Source organism: Homo sapiens, chromosome 2, assembly GCF_000001405.40.
Source record: "Homo sapiens chromosome 2, GRCh38.p14 Primary Assembly".
In the NCBI taxonomy this organism is placed as follows: domain Eukaryota; kingdom Metazoa; phylum Chordata; class Mammalia; order Primates; family Hominidae; genus Homo; species Homo sapiens.
Window position 1 is genome coordinate 161,188,807 of NC_000002.12, and position 27,259 is coordinate 161,216,065.

Consider the following 27,259-nt stretch of genomic DNA (forward strand, 5'->3'; position numbering starts at 1 on the left):
TAACAATATTAAGAAGTGGGACCTTTAAGAGATGATTAGGCCATGAGGTCTCTGCCCCCCATGGGCATAATTAATGCTGCTCCAAAACTGTCAGTTTGGCTGCTGCTGCCCTTTCTCTTTGCTCTTCAGTCACATGATACCTTCCACTATATGGAAGATGCTAGTGTCTTGGTTTTGGACTTGCCAGATACTGGTGTCTTAGTTTTGGATTTCCCAGCATCCAGAACTGTGAAGAAATAAATTTCTGTTCTTTATAATTTATCCAACCTCAGGTATTCTGCTATAGCAGCACAAAACAGACTAAGACAATATTGATGCAAAAAATCCTCAACAAAACACTAGCAAATCAAATCCAACAGCATATTAAAAGAATTACATATCATGACAAAGTGAGACTTATTCCTATAATGCAGTAATGGTTCAGCATACAAAACTAGTCATGATATACCATGTAATATACCACGTTAACAGGATTAAAAAGAAAAAACATGATCCTCTCAACTGATTCAGAAAAAGCATTTGATAAAATTCAACACTGTTTTAGGATTTTAAGAAACACTCAACAAACTAAGAATAGAAGGAAACGAACTCAACAAAATAAAGATCATCCAACATAGGAAAAACCCACAACTAGCATCATACTCCAGAGTGAAAGACTGAAAGCTTTTTGTCTACCATTGAAATAAGTCAAGGATATACTTCTATTCACCATAGTACTGAAAGTCCTAGACAGAGCAGTTAAGGAAGAAAAAGAAATAAAAGCCATCAAATTGGATACGAAGAAATAAAATTATCTCTGTTTGTAAACAACATGATCTTAAGTATAGAAAGCCCTAAAGATTCCACACCCAAAAAAAACCCACCTGTTAGAACTAATAAACAAATTCAGTAAAGTTACAAAATCAGCATGCAAAAATCAGTTGTGTTTCTATACATTAACAACAAACCATTTAAAGAAGACACAAATATATGGAAAGAAATCACATTTTCATTAATTGGACCCTTGCCTTTCTCCATATACAAAAATTAAAACAGATCAAAGACCAAATGCAAGAGGTAAAAACCATGAAAGACTTAGAAGAAATCTTAGGGGGAAAGGTTTATGACATTGGATTTGGCAGTGACTTTTTGCGTATGACACTGAAAACAGGCAACTAAGGAAAAAATAGTTAAGTTGGACTTCGTCAAAATTAAAACTTTTGTGCGTCAAAGGGCACTATCAACAGAGTGAAAAGGCAACCCACAGAATAAAAGAAAATATTTGCAAGTCATATTTGGTAAGAAATTGATATCTAGAATATATAAAGAACTACAGCTCAACAACAACAAAACCTGGATTTAAAATGGGCAAGGGGCTTTAGAGATTTCTCCAAGAAGTTATACAGATGGCCAATAAGCATATGAAAAGATGCTCAGCATCCCTATTCATTAGTAAAACCACAGTGAGATGCTACTTCACACCCATTGGTGTGGCTGTTATTCAAAAAAGCAAAATAAGTGTTGGCAAGGATGTGTAGAAATTAGAACCCTTATGCATTGCTAGTAGGAATGTAAAATAATGCAGCCATTGTGGAAAATGGTATGGCAATTCTTAAAAAAATTAAACATAGAATTACCATATGATTCAGCAATCCTACTACTCTTGGTTACATACCCAGAAGAAGTGATAGCAAGGACTCAATTGGATATTTGCACATTCAGGTTCAGAAAAGCATTTTTCACATTAGGCAAAAGGTGGAAACAACCCAAGTGTTCATAAGCAGATGAATGGATAACTGTAAGGTGGTATATACACACAACATAGTAGTATTTAGCCTTAAAATGGAAAGAAAATTGTACACGTGCTACAGAGTAGAACCTTGGAGATGTTATGCTAAGTTAAATCAGTCACAAAAGCAGAAATATTGTATGATTAAATTTATGTGAGACACTAAGAATAGTCAAATTGATAAAGACAGAAAGTAGAAGGGTAGTTGCCAGAGGTTGAGAGGGAGGAAGGAATGAGGAATTACTGCGTAATGGATACAGAGTTTCAGTTAGGAAGGATGAAAAAAGTTTCTGGAGGTAGATGGTGGTGATGGCTGCACAACAATGTGAATTTTTTATTTGATATATATTTTACCATATTTTTAAAAACTCTATTACAAAAAAAAGAATTGGTCTAGCCTAGATAATCTTAGTAGCCATGTTTTATTGCTATTCAACTTGTCACTCATCAATTTATATAAACTCACCAGCCTTTTACCACTTAGCTGTCTATACTCCACATCAGTTCTTCTCTCAGTGTTTCTTCCAGTTCACTGCAATTTGAGACTCAGAAGTTTTTCTTTGAGAAGTCAGTATGCTGTATCCATTAAGGAACATTCTGTTCAGGAAAGACATCTAAGTATTCCAAATTGATAAGGGAGGTAAAGACAAAACAGATAAGTGATTTTTAAAATATTATTGGCTTAAATTACGAAAGCACCACATGCTTATTTTTTTTAAAGTAAACAATTCAAGATGTACAGGATATAAAGTGATAGTCCTCTCCCTCACTCCCCAGGGCTATCCATTGTTAGTAATTGGGTATATATCCTTTCAGAGTATGAGAATCATATTTTTTCAAAAATGCAAGCATGCTAATCTGAAAAAGGTTTTAAATGTTTTAATGTCATCATCTTCATCACTAAGATTTGTTGAGGTTTGTTTGCCAGAGAGCTTTACAGTTATTTAATCCTTGTATAAATCTTATGAGGAAGTATTATTTTCATTTTTTGGATGAGGAAAATGAAGTGAGAGAGATGAAGTAACTTGCCCACAACCACATAGCTACTAAGTTAGTAGAATTAGTAGAGCTAGAATTTGCAAAAAATGTTTGACCACAAACTTCTTGTCTATAACTTCTCTGCCAAAAATTGTCAATAGTCTTTCAGGTTTGTACATATAAACCTACCTCATATCATGAATACCTGACAATACCTTGTACTACCCTTCCTTCTTAAAACACTATTTTTCTTTTTTTTGAGATGGAATCTCACTCTGTTGCCCAGGCTGGAGTGCAGTGGCGCTCACTTGGCTCACCTCTGCCTCTTGGGTTCAAATGATACTCCTGCCTAAGCCTCCTGAGTAGCTGGGATTACAGGCGCCCACCACCACGCCCAGCTAATTTTTTTATTTTTAATAGAGATGGGGTTTCACCTTGTTGGCCAGGCTGGTCTCGAGCTCCTGACCTCAAGTGATCTGCCCACCTCAGCCTCCCAAAGTGCTGGGATTACAGGTGTGAGCCACCATGCCCAGCCCTTACTTTCTATTCTTACATGAACCTTCTCATTTTTTCCTGTGGCTTGAGATATCTGTGACAATTAACTCCTAAATTTATATTCCTAGTCCAGACCTGCCCTCTGAACTGTATACCCATTTGTATCACTGCTACTTGGAAGGCATATTAAACTGAATATCCAGACCTGAACTTACATATTCACCATTTTTTCTCACCTGTACCATTGCAAGAGAGTAATGAGTTTAATAAGCTGCTGCGTGGAATAATACTACCTTTTATTTTCCCTAAATTTACTTCACATAAATTTCAAAGGATAATCTCTCCTCTTACCACTACTAGTGTCCTGCTACTGATCACGAAGTATATTTATTTTACCTGGCCTCTAAATTGTGTTTTTCTCTTTTAGTTCTAGACTAAATTTTCCATTGTTATGCCTAGGCCCTCTTGCCACCATGCTGTTAAATTGTTTTTTTTAGAACCTCTAGTCTTAAAACATGGCTCTTTTTAGCTTATCCTCTGGTACAGCCCTCATTCTAGACCATACTAAAATACCAGACAATTTCAGATACATGGAAGTAGCGCACTAATCTCAAATACACAGAAGCAGTCTTCTTCCCTTCAACATTTAAATTCATATTACTTCATAAATAAGAAAGGAAAATTAACATTTAATGAATGAGCGTATTCTACAGGTGTCACAGCCCTACAAAAGTAGACATTGTTAGCTTTATTTTCAAATGAAGAAACCTAGACTCAGAAATGTTGATTTTCCAATCTAAGTTGCAGAATCTATACTGAAACTAGGTTTATCAGACCGAAGACCATATTCGTTATACTAACCTAGCTAAGTCATAGCTCATTCCAGGTTTTCAAACTGTTTTCTTCCCATTGCTATGAATAACTTAATATAGTCTCCTCTCTCCTTGGATGAATCCTTACTTTGTGATTTATACATCTCTTTTTAGCAAGAGAGGCTAGAGCATAAAGTTTGCTATGAATATTTCCTTTACTCATCCTTCAATTTATCATGTGCCAGGGACATCATATATGCTAGCAATTAAAAGATAGAGCATTCACTTAAAGGGTTCACAGTCAAATACTGCTTATTCCATTTCTTGGCATGTGTAAGCATTCATACATACCCACACTAAGAGGTCTTCTGTTCATTCCAAGGTAGAGGAATCTTTTAATCACAATAGCCTCTGACCAGACAACTTTTACTATGCTTACAGAATAAGACAAAAGATTATTATGGAGAGTATAGGGTGGTAGAGTTGGTTTGGCCCCTGAATTGGTTATTATATAGGATACGCTATTACAGAGAGACTAAGAAATACAGTGCATAAATATAAAAGTTGACTTTTGTCTGTGCTTGGCACAAAGATTCATGTGAGTAATCCCAGCGCTTTGAGAGGCTAAGGCAGGAGGATTGCTTGAGCCCAAGAGTTCAAGACCAGCCTGGGCAGCATAGCAAGACCCTGTCTTTATTTAAAAATAAATAAATAGATAAATAAGTTCTCTCTTTTGTAGCAGTCCACAGGTGACTAGAACAGGGCTAGTAAGGCAGCTCTACCATTCTTAAAATATGGTTTCCCTCTCCCAAATCACAATGGCTGCTCTCCTCATTTCCTTGCCAGTGAGAAGGGGAAGAGAAGTGAAGAGCAGGCAGCTTTCTTTTAATGATGTTGTCCAGAATTTGTGCAGATGATTTCTGTTCACACCCTCTAGCCAGAACTTAGTCACATGATCACATCTAGTAGTGAAGAAGGCTGGTAAATATATCCTCTAGCTGGGTGACCATGTGCCGTGTTAAAACTCTAAGAAAGAAAGAAAATGGATATGGGGAATAATTAGCAGTCCTTGCCACATCTTTTGGCTGACTACGCCAAAATTGCCTGGAGAGTTTCAAGTATCACAAGACTCCATAATATGGAATTAAATATTTAATCAGTTTATTACTCATACCAAGTTACTTGTCATCAATTTCTGCCACTGTTCCATGAGAGAAATTTCTATTGCTTCTTTGACCATCTTTCCAAGAGTAGAATCAGTAATAAAATAATTAAAACATCTGAAACTGTTAAAACTGATAGCAATTTACAAGTCAGATTACCATAATCGTAAATGATTAGGTTATAGAAAACCTGCAGCTGGCCTCTCCTGCTTGTCCCAAGATTCTTTGTATTATGTAATTAGAAAATAGAAATCTCTTTGTTGAGAAGAGAAATTTGAAATGGAATTTTTCTCTTCTTGCCCCCTCTTGATTAAAAGAGAAAAACTGACAAAGTCTTACATAGAAAGGAAGCATTCTCCTTAATTCTAAAATTATTCAGATGCTATGATGTATTAACTGCTTTTTCTTTGTACCGAGAAGAAAAGTGAAGGATACATAATATTTAAAACCATGCAATTTGCTAAGCAAAGAGTCTTATTGACTTGCCAGTAAGGCTGAAGAGAAGGCCTAAAATAAGAGTAAATTTGACTGTGCCTTGTCTTTTTATCATAAGTTACAGATCTTCTCTAATGTTTTTCTGACAATAAATGTTAAGCGATAAGGACCGTTTTGTTGTCAGATTGCTTTACTCAAGAGCTAGTCTTGACCCATGTGAAATGTAAACCTTTAGCCTAAGGCTTATGCTACCTCTAAAAGCTTGTAAAACATATTTTAAAGGATTGCAAACGGCATAAAATACCTTTATTGTAGGTACTGTGTTAAAAAAAATCCTTCATTTTCACATAAAATGTAAATGGCCTCATTATTGTTTACCACTCTTTTTTTTATGTTTTTTTTCCCCCAACAACATATATACTCTATCCAAAGTGTTGATGGGGTAAAGCAGTTCATTCTGGTTTTTTTTCCTAATGAAGCTACTGGTATTAGAATAAAAGTGCTCCAGGTAGTTTCTGATCAAAGCTTTATTTCTTTGTTGTACATTGTCAGTACTTTGCCAGTAGATTCATTTTCCACGTTATCAGAATGGAAGATATTTGTATCCTTTCTTCCAAGGTTTTACTTCCAGAAATATGTCGTGTTAAAACTTTTAGTCAGGTATGTAGGATATATGTTCAAGGAGATTGGTTAATAAAGAATTAATGATATTCATTCAAAAATATATTGAGCAGCTACTATGTATCCGGAACTGCACTAAGTACTAAATCTACAATGATAAGCAAACAGACATGCTTGCTTCCTGCTTCATGGAATGGTGGCACAGTCTAGTAAAGCAGAGACTAATCAAACAATCTCACAAATATAGCTTGAAACTCTGATCAAAGTATCAAGAAGAAAGGTAAATTGCTATTAGAATGTCTGTTGGGGACTTGACCTAATCCAGCAGGTCAGAGAAGATTATCATTATATAATGATTTTTGAAAGGGCAGGTTTGGAGGGCTTTTTAAGTTCAAGGACCTGCATTGTAAAACCCATTGGCCTAAAAGAACTTAAAGTATAAGGGAAATAGTGCAATGAGAAGAGTCAGGGGCTCTTAGTAGGGACTTGGAGACCATATTAAGGACTTTCGGTTCTTTATTCTAGGAGCGTAAGGAGCCATTTAAGGTTTTTTGGGGGACAAGGGTGAGGGGTAGGGAAAAAGTATGGAGTAATATGATTACATGTGCATTTTGCAAAGAACACAGTGGCTACTAGAGAATAGGCTATTGCAGCAGTCCATTAAGGATGTGGTAATAGATTTAAGAGATATTAATAGTTGAGATTAAACTTGATACTTGGGGCCAGGCGCAGTGGCTCATACCTGTAATACTAGCACTTTTTTTGGGAGGCCCAGGCAGGCAGATCACTTGAGGTCAGGAGTTCAAGACCAGCCTGGCCAACATGGTGAAACCCTGTCTGTACTAAAAATACAAAAATTAGCCAGGCGTGATGGCGGGCACCTGTAATCCCAGCTATTCAGGAGCCTGAGGCAGGAGAATCACTTGAACCCAGGAGGTGGAGGTTGCAGTGAGCCTAGATCACGCTGCTGCACTCCAGTGAGCAAGACAGAGCTCCGAAAGAGCAAGACTCCATCTCAAAAAGATAAATAAAATTGATACTTGGTAATGGATTGGCTGTACAACAAATAGATGTCAAAGATGGTTACAGCTTTCTGTATAGATAAGAGCACCATATACTGAGAAAAGGAATACTAGCAAAGAACCAGACTTTTGGCGGGGTAGAGAGGAGAGATGAGAGGGAGTGGTAATTGGGGGAAATCATCAGTTTTGAATATTCTAAGTGCTTCCCCAGGAACAGTTGGCCACATAGATCTATAGCTTAGAAGAGAGATCTAAGCTAGAAGAAAAATTTGAGCTACTGGCATGGATGAGATTACCTAGGAAGAGAATATATAGCAAGAGAGGGCCTCAGGTGAGCTAGAGGTACTAATACGATGTGGCATAGTGGTTAGTTAGGGGCTTGGGCTTTGTATTCAGGCAAGCCTAGATTCAAATCTTAGCTCTACTATCTACTGGGAAATCTTAATAATTAAGATTAAAATTGATACTTGGGGGCCAGGCGCGGTGGCTCACACCTGTAATCCCAGCACTATGGCAGGCCGAGGCAGGCGGATCACTTGAGGTCAGGAGTTCAAAACCAGCCTGGCCAACATGGTGAAATCTTGTCTCTTCTAAAAATATAAAAATTAGCCAGGTGTGATGCGGGAGCGCTTGTAATCCCAGCTACTCAGGAGACTGAGGCAGGAGAATCACTTGAACCTGGGAGGTGGAGGTTGCAGTGAGCCTAGGCAGATTATTTTGTACCTCTTTAAGACTCAGTTTCCTCATCTGTAAAATGTGGGAAATAGTCTCCTGGGAAGGTTGGTTTAAGGATTAAATGAGATAAAGAAAATAAAACTGATTTTGGTACATAGTATTAAATGAAATTATCACATGATGATAATGTGTTGCTGAGTTGAAAAATTTGGTTGCGGAATAGTTCTCATTTGTAAAAAAGTGTGATACGTATACACACATGTATACAGGAGTTCTGAAAGGGTATATACCAAAATGTCAATAGCAGTTACCCTTGAGGAAAAATGGAAGGCAAAGTAAGGGATGATACTGCCATGTTTTACTTTGTACATATCTGTACGTACTTGTACATTATTTTTGTTCTGTTGGTGGTAGTCGTCATTTTGTTATTTGAATTTTTCAACAAATGTGCGATTTTTATAACTATAGCCATTAATCTTTAATCGTTTAGTCCATTTTGTCTCTTTGTAAACTTCGAACAATCAGGTGTTGGTTTTTTGTTTTGTTTTCTTTGCTTGACAGAATGTTTTTGATTCAATGGAGATACCATACTGATTTCTCGTGAAGAAACACCTGAATCCTAGGTTACAACGAACTAGAAAAATGACTGAGAGATCTGGCTTCGGTGATAACCAGAGCTTTTGTTCATAAACATGTGCTACATGCTCTGTGTCTTAGTCCATTTGCACTCTATAACAAAATACCTTATACAAGGTAATTTGTAAATAATAGAAATTTATTTCTCACAGTTTTAGAGGCTGAGAAGTCCAAGATCGAGGCTCCAGCAGGCTTGGTGTCTGGTGAGGGCCCAGTCTCTGTTTCCAAGATGGCACCTCATTGCTGCATCATCTAGTGGAGATGAACACTGTGTTCTCATATGGCAGAAAGGATGGAGGGCAAAAAGGACTGAACTCTGTGTGAAGCCCCTTTTATAAAGGCCTTAATCTTATTCATGTGGGAGCAGCCCTTATAACTTAATACCTCCTAAAAGGCCCCACTTCTTAATACCATCACAATGGGGATTAAGTTTCAACATGAATTTTGGTGGGGACACACATTCAGATCATAGCATTTCACCCCTGGCTCCCCCAGATTTATATCCTGCACACATACAAAATATATGAGATAAATGCACGTGATACACATTTATTCCATCCCAAAAGCCCCCAAAAGACTTACCTTGTTCCAGCATCAACTTTAAAATCTAAAGTTTCATCTTAACACTATCTAAGTCAGATACGGAGATGAGACTCAAAGTACAATTCATCCAGAGACAAATTCCTCTTCAGCTGTGAGCCTATGAAATTATACAGTTATATGCTTCCAAAAGACAATAGTGGGACAAACAGGATAGATATTCCCACTCCAAAATGGAGCAACAGGAAAGAACAAAGGGCTAACAGGTTCTAACCAAATCCAAACACCTCAGATAAACAACAAAAAACTCAGTAGGGCAAACATTAAACCCTGAAGCTTGGGTGTAGTCTTTTACTCCCATTTCTCATTTTCTGGACACACTGGGGTGGAAGTTGGACCCCCAAGGCTCCAGGCAACCCTACTTCATCACATTGCTGGCTGCATTTCTTGTGTGTTGGAGTTGCATGCCTTTGGGTCTCCCAGCCTGGAGTTGCACCCTGGTGGCTCTACTGGTCTGGGGTCTTGGGATGGCCCTGCCTGGGCAACTCCACTAGGAATTGCCCTGATGGTGACTCTCTGCATTGGCCTCACTCCCACGGCTGTGGATATTATTTAGATACCTTGCTCATTGTTAAAAACAGGAACTAATATTTCCAATGAGCATATCGCGAGACAAATACTTTATATATTCTGTGTCTTTCAATCCTTCAGGTAAGTATAATTTTCATTTACAGAGGAAGAAACCAAAAGCTCAAAGAGGCAAGTAAATTAATCAGGACCGAAACACAGGATTGTAAAATAAAAATAGTTTGTCATAGTTTACCATTTGGCATGCTGAGAAATTGGTGGCAGCACTGTCACCTAAAAGTAGATAATTAGATTGGAAATCTGATCTGTCAAATTGCAGATCTTCTAGATAAATCTTGGTACTGGAGGGTGGGAACGTACAGGGCTTATAACCTAGTAGGCAGAAAATGGTTGAAGAAAGACTTGTGTAAGCCAGGATCTCTGGGTTGCTGATCCTGTTTGATCTCGTACTATTTAAAGAAAACTCAAAATTGAAGTTGATTCTTAGCTTACCAAAATTTCAAGATGTATTTTAATTAGATTGTGTCTAATTAGTTTCTATCTAAAGTGCTATGTATTAGGATAATTAATATTTAATTATCTTCCTTCATGAACTGTAGAGCTTCCTATGGAGAGCATTTGTGGTAGCCACGCAAATCCTTTAGTAAATCTTTCATTCTCTTTATTAACCTTGGAATAATTTGAAAGGTTTTTGAATTGGGACTATTTCTTTTTTTTTTCAATCCACTCAACATTTATTAAATTCCTTAATAAATCATTGGAGGAAAGCAGTGATATTTTTGAGAATATTGCAATTAATTATTGAGGATGAGAAGAAATGTTTGACTTAGGATATTATAGATAACTTAAGGGCACTTAAACTTTTTTTCCCCTATGTAAGAAATAAGTGCCTTGGAAAATACAAAAAAAAAATGTTCAATACCAGCAATAGGAAACAATTCAATTTATGGAACTCTATTTTAATATTTATGATACTCATGGAAATTTAAACATCTATCTACAGAAAATTATAGGAAATATGCTGCCTTAGTTTTGAAGAGGAAATACTGAAATTTTGCCTGGATAAAAGGGCAATTTTTAAAATAAACTTTTTGCTTTGCTTATCATAATCCAGAGTATGGGCAACCATTTTTGATAAATTTAGGATGTGTGCTATATTTGATCACCAGTGTTTTAAGTTTTACTTTTGAACACTAAGAAAGAATACAAAGTTAACCTTATGGGCCAGGCATGGTGGCTCATGCCTGTAATCCCAGCACTTTGGGAGGCCAAGGTGGGAGGATCACTTGAGCCCAGGAGTTTGAGACCAGCCTGGGCAGCATAGTAAGACCCTGTCTCTATACAAATAACATAATAATAAAATAAAAAACAAAGTACCTTATAGCACAAGTACCTAAGTACCTGTTTACCTCTTTAGATGCTGGTAGACCACTTGTTTTGCTAGTCTTTGAAATTGGAAGGAGTGTCAAATACACAGAAGCCAGAGTCATCTTGGCCAGATGGTGTTTGATACAGATGGATGGTTAGTTGTCATGCAGATCTCCTAGTTGGTAACTTGTTGCTGCCATCTGACTCAAAGAATCATTCACACACACTGGCTGTCAAAAGCATCTTCTTTTCTGTCTGTTTTAGCTGTCATGTCTGTGCTCTGTACAGAAGTGTTGACAAGACATTGCTGTTGTACATTTTCAATGTGGTTGTTAGTGAGTTTTCTGTTTCGTGGGGTCTTTGATAGTGCTAGAATGTACTTGCTTTGTAATTGTATTTTAAAAAAATACTATGACTGTGCAACAATAATCTGACCTTGTAAAAGGACTTTTCTGGTTTTAAGTTTAGGCAGATATGTTCTGTGAACAAAAGCATTTAATCAAATGAAAAAAAAAAGACTAGTTTCATTTACTTTCCAAATAGCAAATAAACCAAGTTCTACTGGTTATTTCCCAGTTTGATGTAATATTTCCTTTTGGTCTTTCCCTCTCATAGTCTGTGGTCAAAATCTTTGTACTTTTTTCTGAATATGCATTTTCTCAAATTACTACCTTTTTTCTAACGGTATAAGCTTCCCTTTTTAAAAAAAAGAATCTTCAAACATTACCTATCTTTTGCATCCGTTTTCTCAAACTTAGTTTCCCTTTGTCGTATTTACCTACTGACCTTGTTTCTGTTTTTAGTGTTTCTAGAGAAATATAAGCAAAAGCATTCCTCCATTCCTTCAGATCATTTCTGAAAGCATATCTGTTCCTCTGATATTTCTTTTTTTTTTTTTAAGTGAAAGCAAGTTTATTAAGAAAGTAAAGGAATAAAAGAATGGCTACTCCAGAGGCAGAGCAGCAGCATGGGTTGCTCAACTCTGATATTTCTTTAACAAGTTAATTAGTTTGTTTATTCAACTAATATTTACTGAGCATCCTAATATGTGCCAGGCACTCTGTAATACTCTGGAGATATCAGGAGGAAATACTCTCTACCCTTGAGGAGTTCAGTCTAGAGGGAAATCAGACATTAGACAATTAGACTAGAATATTATAACTGCTAAATACAAGTATGTGAAAAGTGTAGGAGGAAAACATGGACTCTTGCTGTTCTGTTTCCCTTACTATACTTCCAGAGTGTTGGTTTTTAAAATTATTGTAGACTTTGCTCGACCTTTATAATACTTTATTAAGTAGCTTAAGAAGTAGTTAAAACTTCAATTTGAAATAGCCATTGATCCATTAATTTTTCTTAGCTATTGAATACATTTTCAGGATTATTTATTTATTGTAATATCTTATATGCAGATGTGCTAAAGTATGTTTTTTAAGCCAGAGAATAGAAGATAAAAATTAACTGGCAGAAGCTTTCTGAGTTGGTTTCAAAAGAAAATATATGGTTTCTTCATTAAGGTGGGAAAAAAAGACATAGAGACTTAAATAACATAGGCATTTATTCTGCGCCTGTCTCTAACTTGCTAAGTTTTTTGGACTGGTTACTTAATCTCTGGACAGTATAATGTATATACCTATCAAAATAAAGTGAAAAAAATAGGTACTTATTGATTGATGTTTGTGAAGAACTTTGAGTTCTTGGAGAAAGCTTTAATTAGCGCAGAAATATATAGAGAAGACTGTAACTTGTTTGCTGATTCTTCAGCCCTGGTGGTGCTCTGTAGCCCAAGTAAATCTAAGGTATTTAGAATTTGCTGTAGATTTTTGGATCCTTCATTCAGTCAGCTTACCACACTGTTTCTAGGGGGTTGGGTGTGAATTTATACAGGAATAAGATGTCTTATCCTGGGAAGCCAGGCCCTAGACTAGACTTGGGTATCAGTGATCAGTTCTGAGACGTATTCATTGGACATGCACTTCAGGTAGACCTACATGATTCATTCTTCTGTTCACAATAATAAAATGTAATTGGAATCCGTATTTCCTTTTTTAATTTTTCAGTGAACATATACTGAACATCTCCTATGTATAAGTTACTTAATCCATATGAATTCTGTGGGGAATGTGAAACTATGTAAGACTGCCTTTAGGCAATGTGCAAAGACAATGTACCACATGGGTTGCTTATCAGCTTTGTCAGTTATTCATATTTGGAGTGTATTACTTATAAAAGTTCACCTTTCATTTGGGAAAATGTAGTATTTAGCTCTAATTTCTTTTTTTTTTTTTTTTTTTTTTTTTGAGACAGAGTCTGGATCTGTTGCCCAGGCTGGAGTGCAGTGGTGTGATCTTGGCTCACTGCAAGCTCCGCCTCCCGGGTTCACATCATTCTCCTGCCTCAGCCTCCCAAGTAGCTGGGACTACAGGTGCCTGCCACCACGCCTGGCTAATTTTTTGTATTTTTAGTGGAGATGGGGTTTCACTGTGTTAACCAGGATGGTCTCAATCTCCTGACCTCGTGATCCACCTACCTCAGCCTCCCAAGCTTTAATTTCTTAAGCTAATTTATATTTGCTAATCTATGAACAGCTATGTAATTTATTAAAATTTTTAAGTTTATTGGTCTCTGAAAATAATAGAGCTTCACTAATTTTGAACTTTAAGAATCAGTTTAAAGTGAAATATCTAGTATCTACTGAAGATCATTCTGAGATTATTAGAACTTCATTTTCATTTTATATTTCAAGGAATTTGCAACTTAGTCATTATTTATTTATCCCTCCAGGGATAGAAATTGGTTAAAAAAAGAGTTCTCTGCTATTGTTTGGTGATACGCTTTTAAGACTGTACTAATTTGGTAATTGTGATACAACAGTTTCAAATTTGCTTGAATGTTTGCAGCATCTGTATTCCTCAGTACAAACTTGTGTCTTTTTTCATTGCTTTATTCTCACAGTCACTGCAATAACATAGCAAAATTAATGGATTAACAATATAAGGGAAACTGGCATTTAAGACACCAAAGGTCAACTATATTCTCTTAATTTCTTAAAACTTAGTGGAGAAGTTTCTGGTCAGTATAATTTTATAATTTGCATTTGTCCCTTTGATTTGTATCAACACTTCCTTAGTGTTTGTGTACTCTAAAAATAAATTTAGAAGTGTGTTTATTTGAAAGACACAAAATCTTAATTTTTTAAGTTAGTATGTATTTTTAAAGAATCACTTTAATATAGCATCTGTTGTATCATTTGTGCTTTTTTTTTTCCATTAAGGAATAAATGCTAAATTACAGTTTTGATCCTTACTGAAGGATCAGGAAATCATAGATTGAATCCTTGACTGAAATGTCTTTAAATAAGTTAATCTTTAAAACTTCTGCGGTGCTTTAAGTGTCTTGAATCACTGATGTTTGTAACAATTACAAGTACATTCCTGGAGCCAGTTTGTATCTCATAAATCACAATACCTGCAAAATGACAATGTGGGCAACTCATATCTATTTATATTATCAATGGATGGTAAATATATGTTCATGTCTATCAGTGAATATCAGGCTAACTGGTTTTTATGTCAGCAGACTGAGAACTATGAGCAGAGAATACGTGAACAACAGGAACAGCTGTCACTTCAACAGACTATTATTGACAAGCTAAAATCTCAGTTACTTCTTGTGAATTCCACTCAAGGTATGTTCATGTTAATTTTTTATGTATTTCTAGAACCTCTTGGTGAAAAGAAAGGTGTAAGTTGAGTTTTTCTATTTTATTCCTTCGTTGTTTCTCAATAGTTTTGATATTATAACTGTGGTACAGTTATATGTTATGTTTATTTAAATGAACACTTGCAGGATATGGGAAAGTGGACTTTCACATATACTATACTATATGGTAGAACTCTAAGTTTATAAAACTTCCTAAAAAGCAATTTGCCAGTAAATAGCAGCAAAAGCTTTTGAAAACATCTATGCCTTTTGAACCAAAAACTCAAGTCCTAAGACTATATCATAAGAAAATATTTGTTCAGGTACTCAAAAATATATATGCGAGGATGTGTATCACAGTATAATGTCTAATCATGGAAAGCTAGAAACAAATATTCAGTAGTTACACTGATCTATATGAATAGCTATGTAGCCAAGAAAAGTGATGATAATAGGTATTAACTTGTAAGAATATGTGGACGATATATAGCAAAATGAACAAAGCAGGATACATAAATAAGTGTTTTTTTCATTTATGCAGAAAAAGGTGATTCTTGTGTGAAGTTATATGTATAGGAAAAGAAGAATTCTGATAGAATATATAAACCAAAATATTAACTGGAATAATTCACAGGTGATAAAAATTTGGGTAGCATTTACTTTTTATTCTTTTTGGCTGTCTGCATTTTCTAATTTTCCCATAATAAGCATGGAGTCATAATACAAATAATTATCTTAAATAAGAAACGCATACCTGAAAATGTGAATATAAAAGTTGAATTGTTGCTGACAGATGCAAAGAGCATATTTCTAGTTTTCTAAATTCTGCATATTTTACATACTGCTGGCTTTTGGAGAGCAGGGGTTTTGTGTGTTTGTTTAGTGGGAAGGAAAAAATATAAATGGACAACTTGTCAAAGTAACTATTACCTAAAGAATTTTCTAAAACTCCTACCTTAAAATGTATTCTCTTTATGGTTTTGAGTTTGTATTATTTTTTGCTTTTTCAGGTGGTACCAAAAATAAGGGTTTTCTGCTAATGTCCAAGAGGTTTTTGTCTTGCAGATAACAATTATGGCTGTGTTCCTCTGCTTGAAGACAGTGAAACAAGAAAGAATAATTTGACTCTTGATCAGCCACAAGATAAAGTGATTTCAGGAATAGCAAGAGAAAAACTACCAAAGGTAGACATTGCTTCTGCAGAAAGCAGCATTTAAATGCTGATGCGTGACATAGCTTCCTCATTTTATTTTTCTGAAGTGATCTGCTGGAATTCCAAACAGAAGTTCCATATATACAAATATGTGGCTTAAATATTTCTAAATAGAAGAACTATTTTCAAGTAAAATAAAGGCTGAGGTTTTGTATTTCCTACTGACCGTTTTTCTACATCACAAGCATTTCAACAAAGAAAACATTTAACAAAGAAATAGGGCTGGACACACTGACTCACTCCTGTAATTCAAACACTTTGGGAGGCCAAGGAGGGAGGATCACTTGAGCTCAGCAGTTTGAGACCAGCCTGGGCAACATAGGGGGATCCCTATCTCTATAAAAAATGAAAAAATTAGCCACGCAGAATGGCACACGCCTGCAGTCCCAGTTACTCAGTAGGAGGATTGTTTGGGCCTAAGAAGTCAAGGCTGCTGCAGTGACCCATGATCATGACACTGCATTCCAGTTTGGGTAACAGAGTGAGACCCTATCTCTAAATAAATAAATAAATGAATTAATGAATGAATGCCACATACATATGTACATATATGTGTGTGTGTGGTGTGTGTGTGTATATATATAAACAATGAAATAAAAGATTAAAATCAGGTAAATAATAAGACACAGATTAGATAATAGCTTTCTAGCTTTTTCTTCAATAGTCTGTGCTTAGTTTAAAAGAAAAATACACCCAACTAGCTTAAGCAAGACTCTATTGAAGTAATACAGAAAGAAATAGTACATATCTGCAAGGAGACATATACAAGGACGTTCATGCCATGGGTTAGAAACAACCTAAATATCCACCAATAATAGAATAGTCCATCTTTAGAAACTCTTTAGAAAAATTAAAATATACTAAATATATATTAATTTGCCTAAATTTCAATAGCAATGTTGAGTAAAGATGGAAATTACAAAATGATAAAATGGGAATACTTTATGTAGTTTGTTGTTGTTGTTGGTTTTGTTTTGTTTTGTTTTTGGATTTTTTTTGGAAATGAAGTCTTGCTCTGTCACCCAGGCTGGAGTGCAGTGGTGCAATCTCTGCTCACTGCAACCTCCACCTCCTGGGTTCAAGCAATTCTACAGGCGCATGCTGCCATGCGTGGCTAATTAGGATACTTTATGTAGTTTTTAAAACATAACATTAATGTTTGTGAAAACACAAATATGTAATAAAAGTATAAAAACCTGTACAGGAAGGGCACACATCTTCTTTAGAAAAACGATCACCTCTAGAATTGGGGAGAAAAGAGACTGTGATATCTGAAAAAGGAATAATGAGGGCTTCAGCAGTTATATCTGCAACTTTTTTTTTTAATAGAAGAGAGCCAAGCAAGTATGCAAAATGTTAACACTTGTTAACTCAGTAGTATATGTATGTATATTATATTGTTCTCCATGTTTTCATAAGTCATTGAAATTTTATAAGTTTGAAAAGGATATTTTTAATGAGATGAGTTGGCTTTTAGTGGGACGATACATATTTTGAATAAAATACGAACTCCTAGCAAATAAGGTTTCTTAACATCAACAAGAACAATTAAATCAAGAGTGCTATATTTATTTCTTTCCTTCTAAATAAAGTAGGAGATTTTCACTTTGTTAGGGTTATTCAGTTACTGATTGCATAACTAAGACTATCTTACTATTTAACATCAAATCTGAGAAATCCAATTTTGAGAGCTTTTTTCTATAAATAAAAATTTTAGAATAAGAAGTTCTCTTGGTACCCCTTAGTACATATATTTTTATTTTAAACCATTCTTTGAGTCATTCAGTTTTCTTCACCCCCATTCGAATTTTCATTTATCTAAAAATGCTGATAAACACAGAAACCATGGCAATGAAATATACTAGGTTTATTTTGCAAAAGAGGAAATTGAGAAACAATGATTCTGACTTTTTGGAATGCAATTTTTTTACTAGGCCTATTGTAGTACATTATAAAATTGTTGAATTACTATACTGACATAAATTTAGTGCTTAAATAAACAATATTTCTAATCTTCCTCTTTCAATGTCTTCCAAATGCCATTACTTAACTGCAAATTTAATAATAATTTATAGCATTCCTTTGAAAGTAATAGAATATCTCCAGTTTAAAGTATGTAGAAGGTAGTTTTGAAAATAAAACCTTGGTTAGAACAAAAGGGATGATGTGAAAAGTTCTAAGATATAGTAATAGTTTTGTTTTTTTTAATTTGGATAATTTGTTATTTATGCAAGTTTTAGAGTTTATTTTCAGTCAATAAGTATCAAAAGCAGACCTTCAATGGAAATCTTTTTAAAAATTATATTTGTTTAAATTCTGTAAGCTAAGTATTTTATCTGTGAAATATATATTTGGATACCTGGGATGAAATTAAGTTTAAGTAACAGAAATCATTTCAGAGATAGCCTGTGTGCAAAGAGTGAATAATATTACATCAATTATAACTATATTTTTGGGCAGACGGTAAGAGGAAAAGCTCCAAGTAAGGAATAAACCTAACTTCAGCGAGTTCTCTTAATTATCTTTACTAATAGGGGAAAGGTTTATGTTTTAGCCACATTTTTATACTTTGAATAGTTCATCAACTCAATTTTCTTTGTAACCATTTAATAAAAATAAAAATTAACTGTCTTGCAGTTCAGCTTTCTCTTTTTTTATGTATCTCTAGCCAAAGTGCTAATGAGCACTAAACGTATAAGGGATTAAAGAAAAGAGAAAATATATTGTAAAAGAATGGATAAATTAGATTTATTGAATATTTGAGAGTTGGCTGTGTGCTTAGTGTAAAAAATTAGGCCTATGTTAGAAAAAATACTGGCCCATCAAGCAATGGAAATTAAAATATGTTCCATTGGCCTATGTGTTGATCTATACTTAGTGAGTTATAATTCACCTTTAGCTAATACAGGTGAAACCTTTCCTAAAGAACTCTGAATATATGGTTATATTCAAGCTTCTTCCACAATGAAAAAAATCCATGTCTGTTGCAGTTTTTTAAAAGTATGCACCCACATGGATGAGAACTGGAAGGCATTATAGAGAAATGGTTAAGGTGATGGTATGATTCTTTTTTATTCTATTTTTAATATACTTTAATGGTCTTCTGCAAAACTAACCTATTTCTAGAAATCACATTCCCAATCAATTGGCCTAGCTTCTATAATGAATTAGTAAGTTAATAGAAATGCTTTGAACCAGTAACAGAAGGAAGCCACTACGAGCCACCCACAGTGCTTTCCTCCTTCTGTTTGGTGGGTGGTTTGAGGATTTGTTTTCTTTAGACAATTTGTTTTGTTTAGGATTTTGTTTTGTCAGGATGTTTGAGAAGGGAAAGACTTGTGGACATTTTGGCAAATAGCCACTCTGGCTGCCTTGGAAAAAAGAGACACAAAGTAGAGGCAAGAGGGATATTTGAAGGGGAAAGAGGCCCTTTTAGAAAATTTTACTTAAGAAACATGAAATTTATAGTTCAGTCTCTATTCATGTTATTCCTACACAAAAAGAATGCAAAAATCCTTTGACTTCTAAAGGGACAGAAAGAGGTAAAGACAAAGCCTCTATCATTAGATGACCCTTAGTACTCTGCTTGAGACAGTAGGGAAGGAAATACTCAGTTTAATGGAAAACCTTAGTTTTGTCTTTTGTACACCACAGTAATTTGCACAGTCCTTTGCATTATCTATCATATTATTCCAGACTTACCCCAAAACTTAGGGCTTAGAACGACAAATTTACCTGAGTTTCTATGGGTCAGAAATTCACCCAGTGACTTACCTGGGTGGCCCTGACTCAGGGTCTCTTATGTTGAAGTCAGGATGTGGACAAGGACTGCAGTCATCCGAAGGCTTAACTGGTTGGAGGATCCACTTCCAAGATGAGTCACTCACATGACTGTTGGCAGGAGGCCTTTCCATATGAGCCTCTCTGCACAAACTGATAGCTAACTTCACTCAAAGTAAGGGATCTGAGAGAGAGAAAGGTGCCCTCTGTGACGTAGTCTCAAAGTCACATTCCTTCACTTCCACTTAATTTTGTTCATTAGAAGCAAGTCACTAAGTAGTGGGGCAAGAAATTAAGCTGCACCCCTTGAAGGGAAAAGTATCTAAGTTTCATAGATATATTTTAAAAGCAACACAGGTATTGTAGATTGTGGTGTACAGAAGAGGATGTGAAAGATCAAGAGACAAGGGGGCTGATACTTAATTTACCTTATGACAAATATTGATGAAACGTAAGGGAACTTAATATTCACTTAATAGTGAATTAAATTCCTGAATTATGTGATTATTAATCCTAAAGGGAAAAAATATCATAGCCTGTCATCTGAAGAACAATTTCAAAAATTCTAATATGAATATACTTTCCAGAGGAGAATAATAGCAATGCTTAGAGAACTAAGAAATTGTTGCATATTACTAATTCTTTTTTATAATGTTAAAAACTGAAAATGCAGATAGGAAATCAGATAACAAAAATGCACACAATTATTCTTGACAAAGACTATTCATCTCTTGTTTACAGAACACCATTTTCAGACATAGTAACTTATGTCCATGTTAGCAGTTACTATTTAAATAACAAGTTTTGTATTTGTGTAACAAATATAAAGACATTCTATAAAAATACAAAACTATAAATTGTCAGTTTAATTCACTTTTTTAAAAACCAGGATTGTAATGTACTGTGTCACTTATATAATCTCAGAAATGAGATTTTTATAATTTGCTTCTGGGAAATAGTTTGGTTGCCAAACTAAATACTATCTTGAGTGTCTAGGTTTTGACAGAAATTGTTTGCCCTCATCTTTCTATGCTACTTTTTGTTCCTGTGGAGAATTATACAAAATTCTCCGGTGGTTTGATGCAAGAAAATATGTAGAAAGCAATAATATAGAAGACAAAAAATTTGGTGATATTGGTAAATTATTTTTCTTCATTTATCCAGTAATTCTGAATTCATGATGTATACTTAACACTGCCAACCACTGGAGAGCAAAGAGATGTTGTCCCTGTCTTCTGGCTTAAAGTCTTGATTTAATAATTAACATTATTGAATGTTGAAAAGTTATTTCAGATTCTAGGATCCAAAATATGAAGTGAACATGGTATGAGTTCACTAATTAAATAGAGTTTATGTGTTCTCATGTCTATATATTTCTAATTTGTTCTTTAAACATGTCTTTATTTTTCATCTGAGTTAATCAAAAACTCAAGTAAATGACGAGTGCAGTTACTGAAAGATGTCAGTTAAACAGTTTGCAGATTTCGAATATAGCTATCATTGTGATTAGATCAGCAGATATGGTGGCTTTGAGGAACAAGAAAGATTTTTTAGGTTTAGAATAGTATAAACAGTGATATAGCTGTGGAGCTGGCAATTGCAAGCAGTAAGATGTGCTGTACCTGACAACTTCAAGTAAATATAGAAGCTCTGACATATTTGAAGAAAGCTGTTGTCTAAAAAGTCATTTGTCAATCACTTACACAAGAAGTAGTTATTGAACTCCTATTTGCCAAGCCTTGCTAGTCATTAACAGAAATACAAAAAACAAAACACAGCAATAGCAATAGTATTGTAATAGACAACATCTATCCCCTTTAAGGATATAGTCTGGTTGGGGAAATGACAATATGGAGACCTACAGCAATTAGCAAGCATTATAAAATAATGTAAAGTCCTAATTATATAACAAAATGAAACCCCGTCTCTACTAAAAATACAAAAATTAGCCGGGCGTGGTGGCAGGCACCTGTAATCCCAGCCACTTGAGAGGCTGAAGCAGGAGAATTGCTTGAACCCGGGAGGCGGAGGTTGCAGTGAGCTGAGATCACGCCACTGCACTCCAGCCTAGGTGACAAGAGTGAAACTCCGTCTAAAAAAAAAAAAAAAAAAGAAATTCTAACTATAATTTTATGGCACAGATAAAACATTTAGGACCTTAATTTAAAAATTAAAATTCTCAGTGAGCTTAAGATAGGCTTGATCAAGGGCCCAAAGTTTAAGTTCAAATACAGAAAAGAAGACAAGTTCTTACTTGCCTTTATCTTGGTTATGTGTGCATAGATAAGTAAAGTTAAATTTTCTACAAGACTTTGATGGAAAAAGGATAATTTCTAGACAAGAGCCAGAATTATTCTAGGTCACTTGGGAGAGAATATTATGTATGTAAACTGAAAGCTAAAACTGAGGGTTTTGAATGAGCCATTTCATTTACCATAACCATTTTTAGTTGACATAATCATGGCTTCAGAGGAGAAAGTGCTTTCTACCTTTTTCTTAACTTTATTCTATAGACAGTCCTTCAGTGAGCGGCATTTACGCATGGTCTGCTTCTTCAATTATGTATAGCAGTTTTGGCAGGCAGTACATGAACTTGAACTCTGTTTTGCTTTCTGATCTTCTGTAGCTAATAAAATCCTAATCTCACAGGTCTAGGTCTTAGATGGCATTCCCATCCTTACACTGTTCATATCTTATATACACTGGACTTCAAGTGCAGTGCCCACTTAGGGATCTTCGTCTGAGTTTTGGGCCCCTGTAGCTTCTCTCAACACTCCAGACACTTTCTGTTGCAAGTCCCTTAATCCACATTTGTTTGTTAAGTTGCTGTATGTTGTCCAGGTACCTGGTTTTATATTCATTGTAAAAGCTTTAAAATGGTTTATAGGTAAATGATAAATATGTTTTTCATCATTTGAACAAAAGCTAAAAATTAGGCCGTTAGTCAACATATTTAGCTACTAAGTGATTTCTATGGAAAAGCCAAATCTCATTTACATCATCTAAACACATAGCACCTCTTCTAAAAGAGGAACTTGAAATAAATGTAATTGCATGTGTTTGTTACTCAACTTTTTAAAAATTTGCCCCTGAATTCCTTTAATGTTTAATCTTTTCTATCTTTTATCATACAGAAATGGTGATTATGCACACTGTACAATGGCACAGGCCAATGTAGGCTGGGGCTTAGAGAACTGGAGAAAAACGTGTTTGTGTGTAGTACCTCAGGTACTCCTTGCCTTGCAGTCCAAAGCAAATGTACCGCTTCTCCTGGTTTTCTTTCTAGAAACTGCATTATATATACCCTATTTTTATATATAATGCTTCTGTATTACTCCTCTGGAGACTAGCCTTTTTTATAGACTTTCTGGTAGAATGTTAATTAGAAAGGAAAATAACTATCTTCAACCAATTTATTCATTAAAAGTTCAGTTTTTTCCAAAGAGTCATAATACATAAACTTTTTTTTTTTTTTTGAGACAGGGTCTCATTCTGTCACCCATACTGGGGTGCAGTGACACCATCTCGGCTCACTGCAACCTCCACCTCCCAGGCTCAAGTGAATCTCCTGCCTCAGCCTCCCGAATAGCTGGGATTACATGCACACACCACCACACCTGGCTAATTTTTGTATTTTTAGTAGAGACGGGGTTTCACTATGTTGGCCAGGCTAGTCTCAAATGCCTGACCTGAAATGATCCACCTGCCTCGGCCTCCCATAGTGCTAGGATTACAGGTGTGTGCCACTGTGCCTGGCTGATACACAAACTCTTAAGAAAACAAATATTGATATCCAAAACATTTTAATAATTACATTGAAATTTTCTATTGCAGAAACTGTGTTTCCAATCTAAATTATTAATTAATCCTAACCCTTTCCTGCTCTGGGTTTGTGTTTTTGAATTCAGTACATCATCTTACAGTTTTTGCTTTTGTTAAAATACTGGAAATAATTTTGAGGAAGAAAAGAAAATAAGAAGTGATATGTCACCTTCTAAATTGTCTTTCCTAACTTAGAAGCAAATTCGAATGTCTCTAGTATGGCTTTTCTCTCCTTATTTCCCCTATCATCCCTTTTCTCACACTTCTCTTTATTTAAAACTTGTCTTCAAAGCACACAGAATAGAGTCGATAAGAGTCTATCCAGCCCTGATTTCTCTTGGCCAAGGAATGAAAGGCTGTTCTCTAAACCTTGATAGGTAAGGAATAGCCCCCTGTCCACCTCCATCTTAGTCTGTATTGCTGTAAAGGAATACCTGAGGCTGGGGATTTATAAAGAAAAAAGGTTTATTTGGCTCATGATTTTGATATCTGTAAAAGTTCAAGATTGGACATTGACATCTGGCAAGGGCCACAGGCTGCTTCCACTCATGGCCGAAGGCAAAGAGGAGCCAGCATTGCAAAGATCCCATGATGAGAGAGGAAGCAAGAGAGAGAGGGGAGGTGGCAGACTCTTTTTAACAACCAGTTTTCTCAGGGGCTAAAAGAGTAAGAACTCACTCACCTGCCATCCTTACCCCCACAGCCCCCAGGATTTCTCTATTCATGAGGGATCTGCCCCCATGACCCAGACCCCTCCCATTAGGCCCCACCTCCAACATTGGGGATCAAATTTTAAAATCAGAGTTGGAGGCGACAAGTATCCAAACTATAGCACCCACAAACCATCTAGTTTATCTTATTATTATAACCTGTCATCCTAAAAGTTCTCAAAATCTGGCTGGGCGCAGTGGCTCACGCCTGTAATCTCAACATTTTGGGAGGCCAAGGTGGGTGGATCACTTGAGGTCAGGAGTTTGAGACCAACCTGGCCAACGTGATGAAACCCTGTCTCTACTAAGAATACAAAAATTAGCCAGGCATGATGGTGGGTGCTTGTAATCCCAGCTACTCTGGAGGCTGAGGCAGGAGAATCGCTTGAACCTAGGAGATGGAGGTTGCATGAGCCAAGATCACACCACTGCACTCCAGCCTGGGCAAGCGTGAGACTTTGTCTCAAAAAAAAAAAAAAAAGAAAATTTCTCTAAATCTGTTTTGAAGGTTTTTTTTTTTTTCAGTGTTATGAAATGCTTCTACATTCAACCTGCTGTTATTTTTTTTTTTTTTGGTTGAATTGTATGATGAAAATTCAGCCTCAAATAGATATTGTATTTGAAAAGGGGAAGAGTATTTTAATAGCTTTTTTAGCGATTGTGGATAGTCTTTGATACTGCACTAAAACTTGGTAGTGTCTTAAAATGTTAGCTGCAATATGGAATCTGAAAGCGTATCAATGAACTTTTCTGCTACATTAAAAGCTGTTGGTCTATCTTGTACTTTGAGTATGTCTTTTACTAATGTATGATTCTGTAACATCATGAATCAATCATTTGGAAAATATTGGTTCACTAAGTTATGTAGATCTTGCAAATGTTGACCTATTATATAATATTTTTAAATCACATTTAACATCATCACTGATTGCATCAGAAAAATCTTTCAAGTATTGGGCATCTGTCAAGCTTACTGTGACAGGTACAGGTCTTCCAAAATTTTAATTTTCACTTGAAAGCTCAAATTTTATCATTGGCAACAAATCTTGTCTGTTGCTTTCCTTAACATGACAGGCTAACTTCATTTGCTTTTGAGAAAATGTCTGAATAACCATAGCTTGTGTGTCAGTCATTCTTTCAAGCAAAAATGGCATTCCATTAGAAAAGTAACCAGTTTACTTGCAACTCAAATAGTTGCACAAGTACTTTTCCCCAAGACAATAATTGTACTTCAGTATGCAGCAGAAGTCCTTTTGTGTATACTTCCCATTTTGTCACACAAAATATTAAAAATATGTTGAGATCAAGTTTCAATAAAAGTAATCACTTTTACTGCCTTATTAAGGACATTCTTAGTTGAAACTGCCTTTTTTTGCTGGTTTTTTTTTTTTAACTGAGTGTGTGACATTAAAGAATACAGTGACAACAGTTTGATATGGCCTTAGTCATACTCGGGCACCAGCAGTTTTATTCATTGTTTTTGCATCATCAGTCTAAATGCCAACACAGTAAAAAATGCAAATATTAATAATATCTTAATTGTGACAATAGTTGATTTCAATTATGTCAGGCTCTGGGATTTCATTTTATTCTACTTACAAGCTAATAAGTTAGTTACTGTTTCATGGGTGGGTACTGGAGGAAAACAGAAAAGTGAATCAGAGAAAAAGGACTTTATTATTTACAGTAAAGTTAGTAGCGAAGAACATCTTATTTTCATTGGTCCTGCCTAGGAGGTAACACAGACACAGATGATGCTTATACATGCAATGGTTACATTAAAGGAGAGGCATATTGAGCTTGGGGAACCCACCATTTTATAGCAGGCAGTAAGCATGCCTGCTCTTTGTCCAAGAGGGAGACATTACCTAGTCTTTCAAATTTGCTCTGCAAACACAAGCCTAAGAAAAGGCTCCGGTAAAGAACAGTGAGATTCTTGTATTCCTGACATGAACAGCAAAAATGTGCCAGGATGCTCAGGGGCCATGGCAGATTACCTCTCCCAACAGTGGATCCCTTGAAAGGCTCTTGGGACCTTTAAGGATCCTGGACCATATTTTGAGAACCACTGGTTTAACCAGATTATAATTTCCTGTTAGAAAAAAATCATATTGCCTTTTTCTTAGTAAGTTACTTTTCATCCTCCTGAAAAAATGTCATGTTCTAAGAATATTCCAGCATCTCCTCAGGAACCTTTATTTGTACATGGAGGTCCTAATGCTTCCTCATCAGTTCTTTTCACATACATTGGATAATCAATTGTCTTATATCTTCATACTTTAAATCGTGATGCTTGTAAATTAATCTATATTAAGTCTAGAGCAGACTCTGAATTTTGACTCTAATTTGTTAAAAGATAGTTTGATAGTAGATACCTGCATTTTCTAGTATGTTCCATAAAACCCTAGGACTATGAAGTGCTGCATACTAGGTACTCTGTTTTTTTAATTTTTAAAGGCGCAAGACTGTATCTGGGATCTGAAATCAATACTAAGAAAACCACTTAGCTTTGTTTAAGTACAGGATCTTCAGCTAACACTCTTCCCAGTATTGTATTTTAACATCCTCTAACTGGATTCTTAGTTCCTTCTAAGATACTGCTAGATTTTGAGGGTAGAGGAGGGGGAAGAGTCACCTAATTTTTCATTTGCACCTATACACTCTGAGCTTCTCTGCTGCTTGGTTAAGCAGTGTCTTGCTATGTTACGAAAGCTGATTTATTTCCTGAAAGATTTTTTTTCTTTGCCAGTTAGTCATCTTTCTATATACTTATGCTCTAAGCTATATATCTTAGAATCCTAATAAAACTATTGTATAGCAGTTTCCACACATTCTGCATTGTCATTAACCTGTGGTTTTTGTCTCCCTCCCTGATAAGTCCCTTTTGGAAACAAATAATTCTAAGACGAGCATCTTTTATTGTCTCTTTCC

At 35.4% G+C, this 27,259-nt stretch overlaps 1 protein-coding gene across 13 annotated transcripts in view, besides 3 other annotated features; it reads left to right on the forward strand.

The window, feature by feature from the left end:
• TANK (TRAF family member associated NFKB activator) overlaps positions 1-27,259 on the forward strand; it is a 99,268-nt gene that overhangs the window by 51,844 nt on the left and 20,165 nt on the right. For 12 of the 13 annotated variants that reach the window (XM_047441820.1, NM_004180.3, XM_047441804.1 and 9 more), the window contains 2 exons: positions 14,681-14,789; positions 15,869-15,987. In XM_047441820.1, coding sequence (XP_047297776.1) covers positions 14,681-14,789; positions 15,869-15,987 — 228 coding nt within the window. Of the gene's footprint in view, positions 1-14,680; positions 14,790-15,868; positions 16,171-27,259 lie in introns of those variants that run through there. The other variant, NM_133484.2, reaches the window with a different exon arrangement.
• Positions 802-971: an enhancer, noted in NCBI's record as "experimental_54751 CRE fragment used in MPRA reporter constructs". NCBI's record gives its function as "activates a minimal promoter by MPRAs in K562 erythroleukemia cells, with activity observed for both the introgressed and non-introgressed 2:162046204 variant alleles {active_cell/tissue: K562}" and the evidence as "EXISTENCE:reporter gene assay evidence [ECO:0000049][PMID:34662402]".
• Positions 4,292-4,461: an enhancer, noted in NCBI's record as "experimental_54752 CRE fragment used in MPRA reporter constructs". NCBI's record gives its function as "activates a minimal promoter by MPRAs in K562 erythroleukemia cells, with activity observed for both the introgressed and non-introgressed 2:162049694 variant alleles {active_cell/tissue: K562}" and the evidence as "EXISTENCE:reporter gene assay evidence [ECO:0000049][PMID:34662402]".
• Positions 11,156-11,215: an enhancer, noted in NCBI's record as "active region_16708". NCBI's record gives its function as "activates an Ori minimal core promoter by ATAC-STARR-seq in GM12878 lymphoblastoid cells {active_cell/tissue: GM12878}" and the evidence as "EXISTENCE:reporter gene assay evidence [ECO:0000049][PMID:35858748]".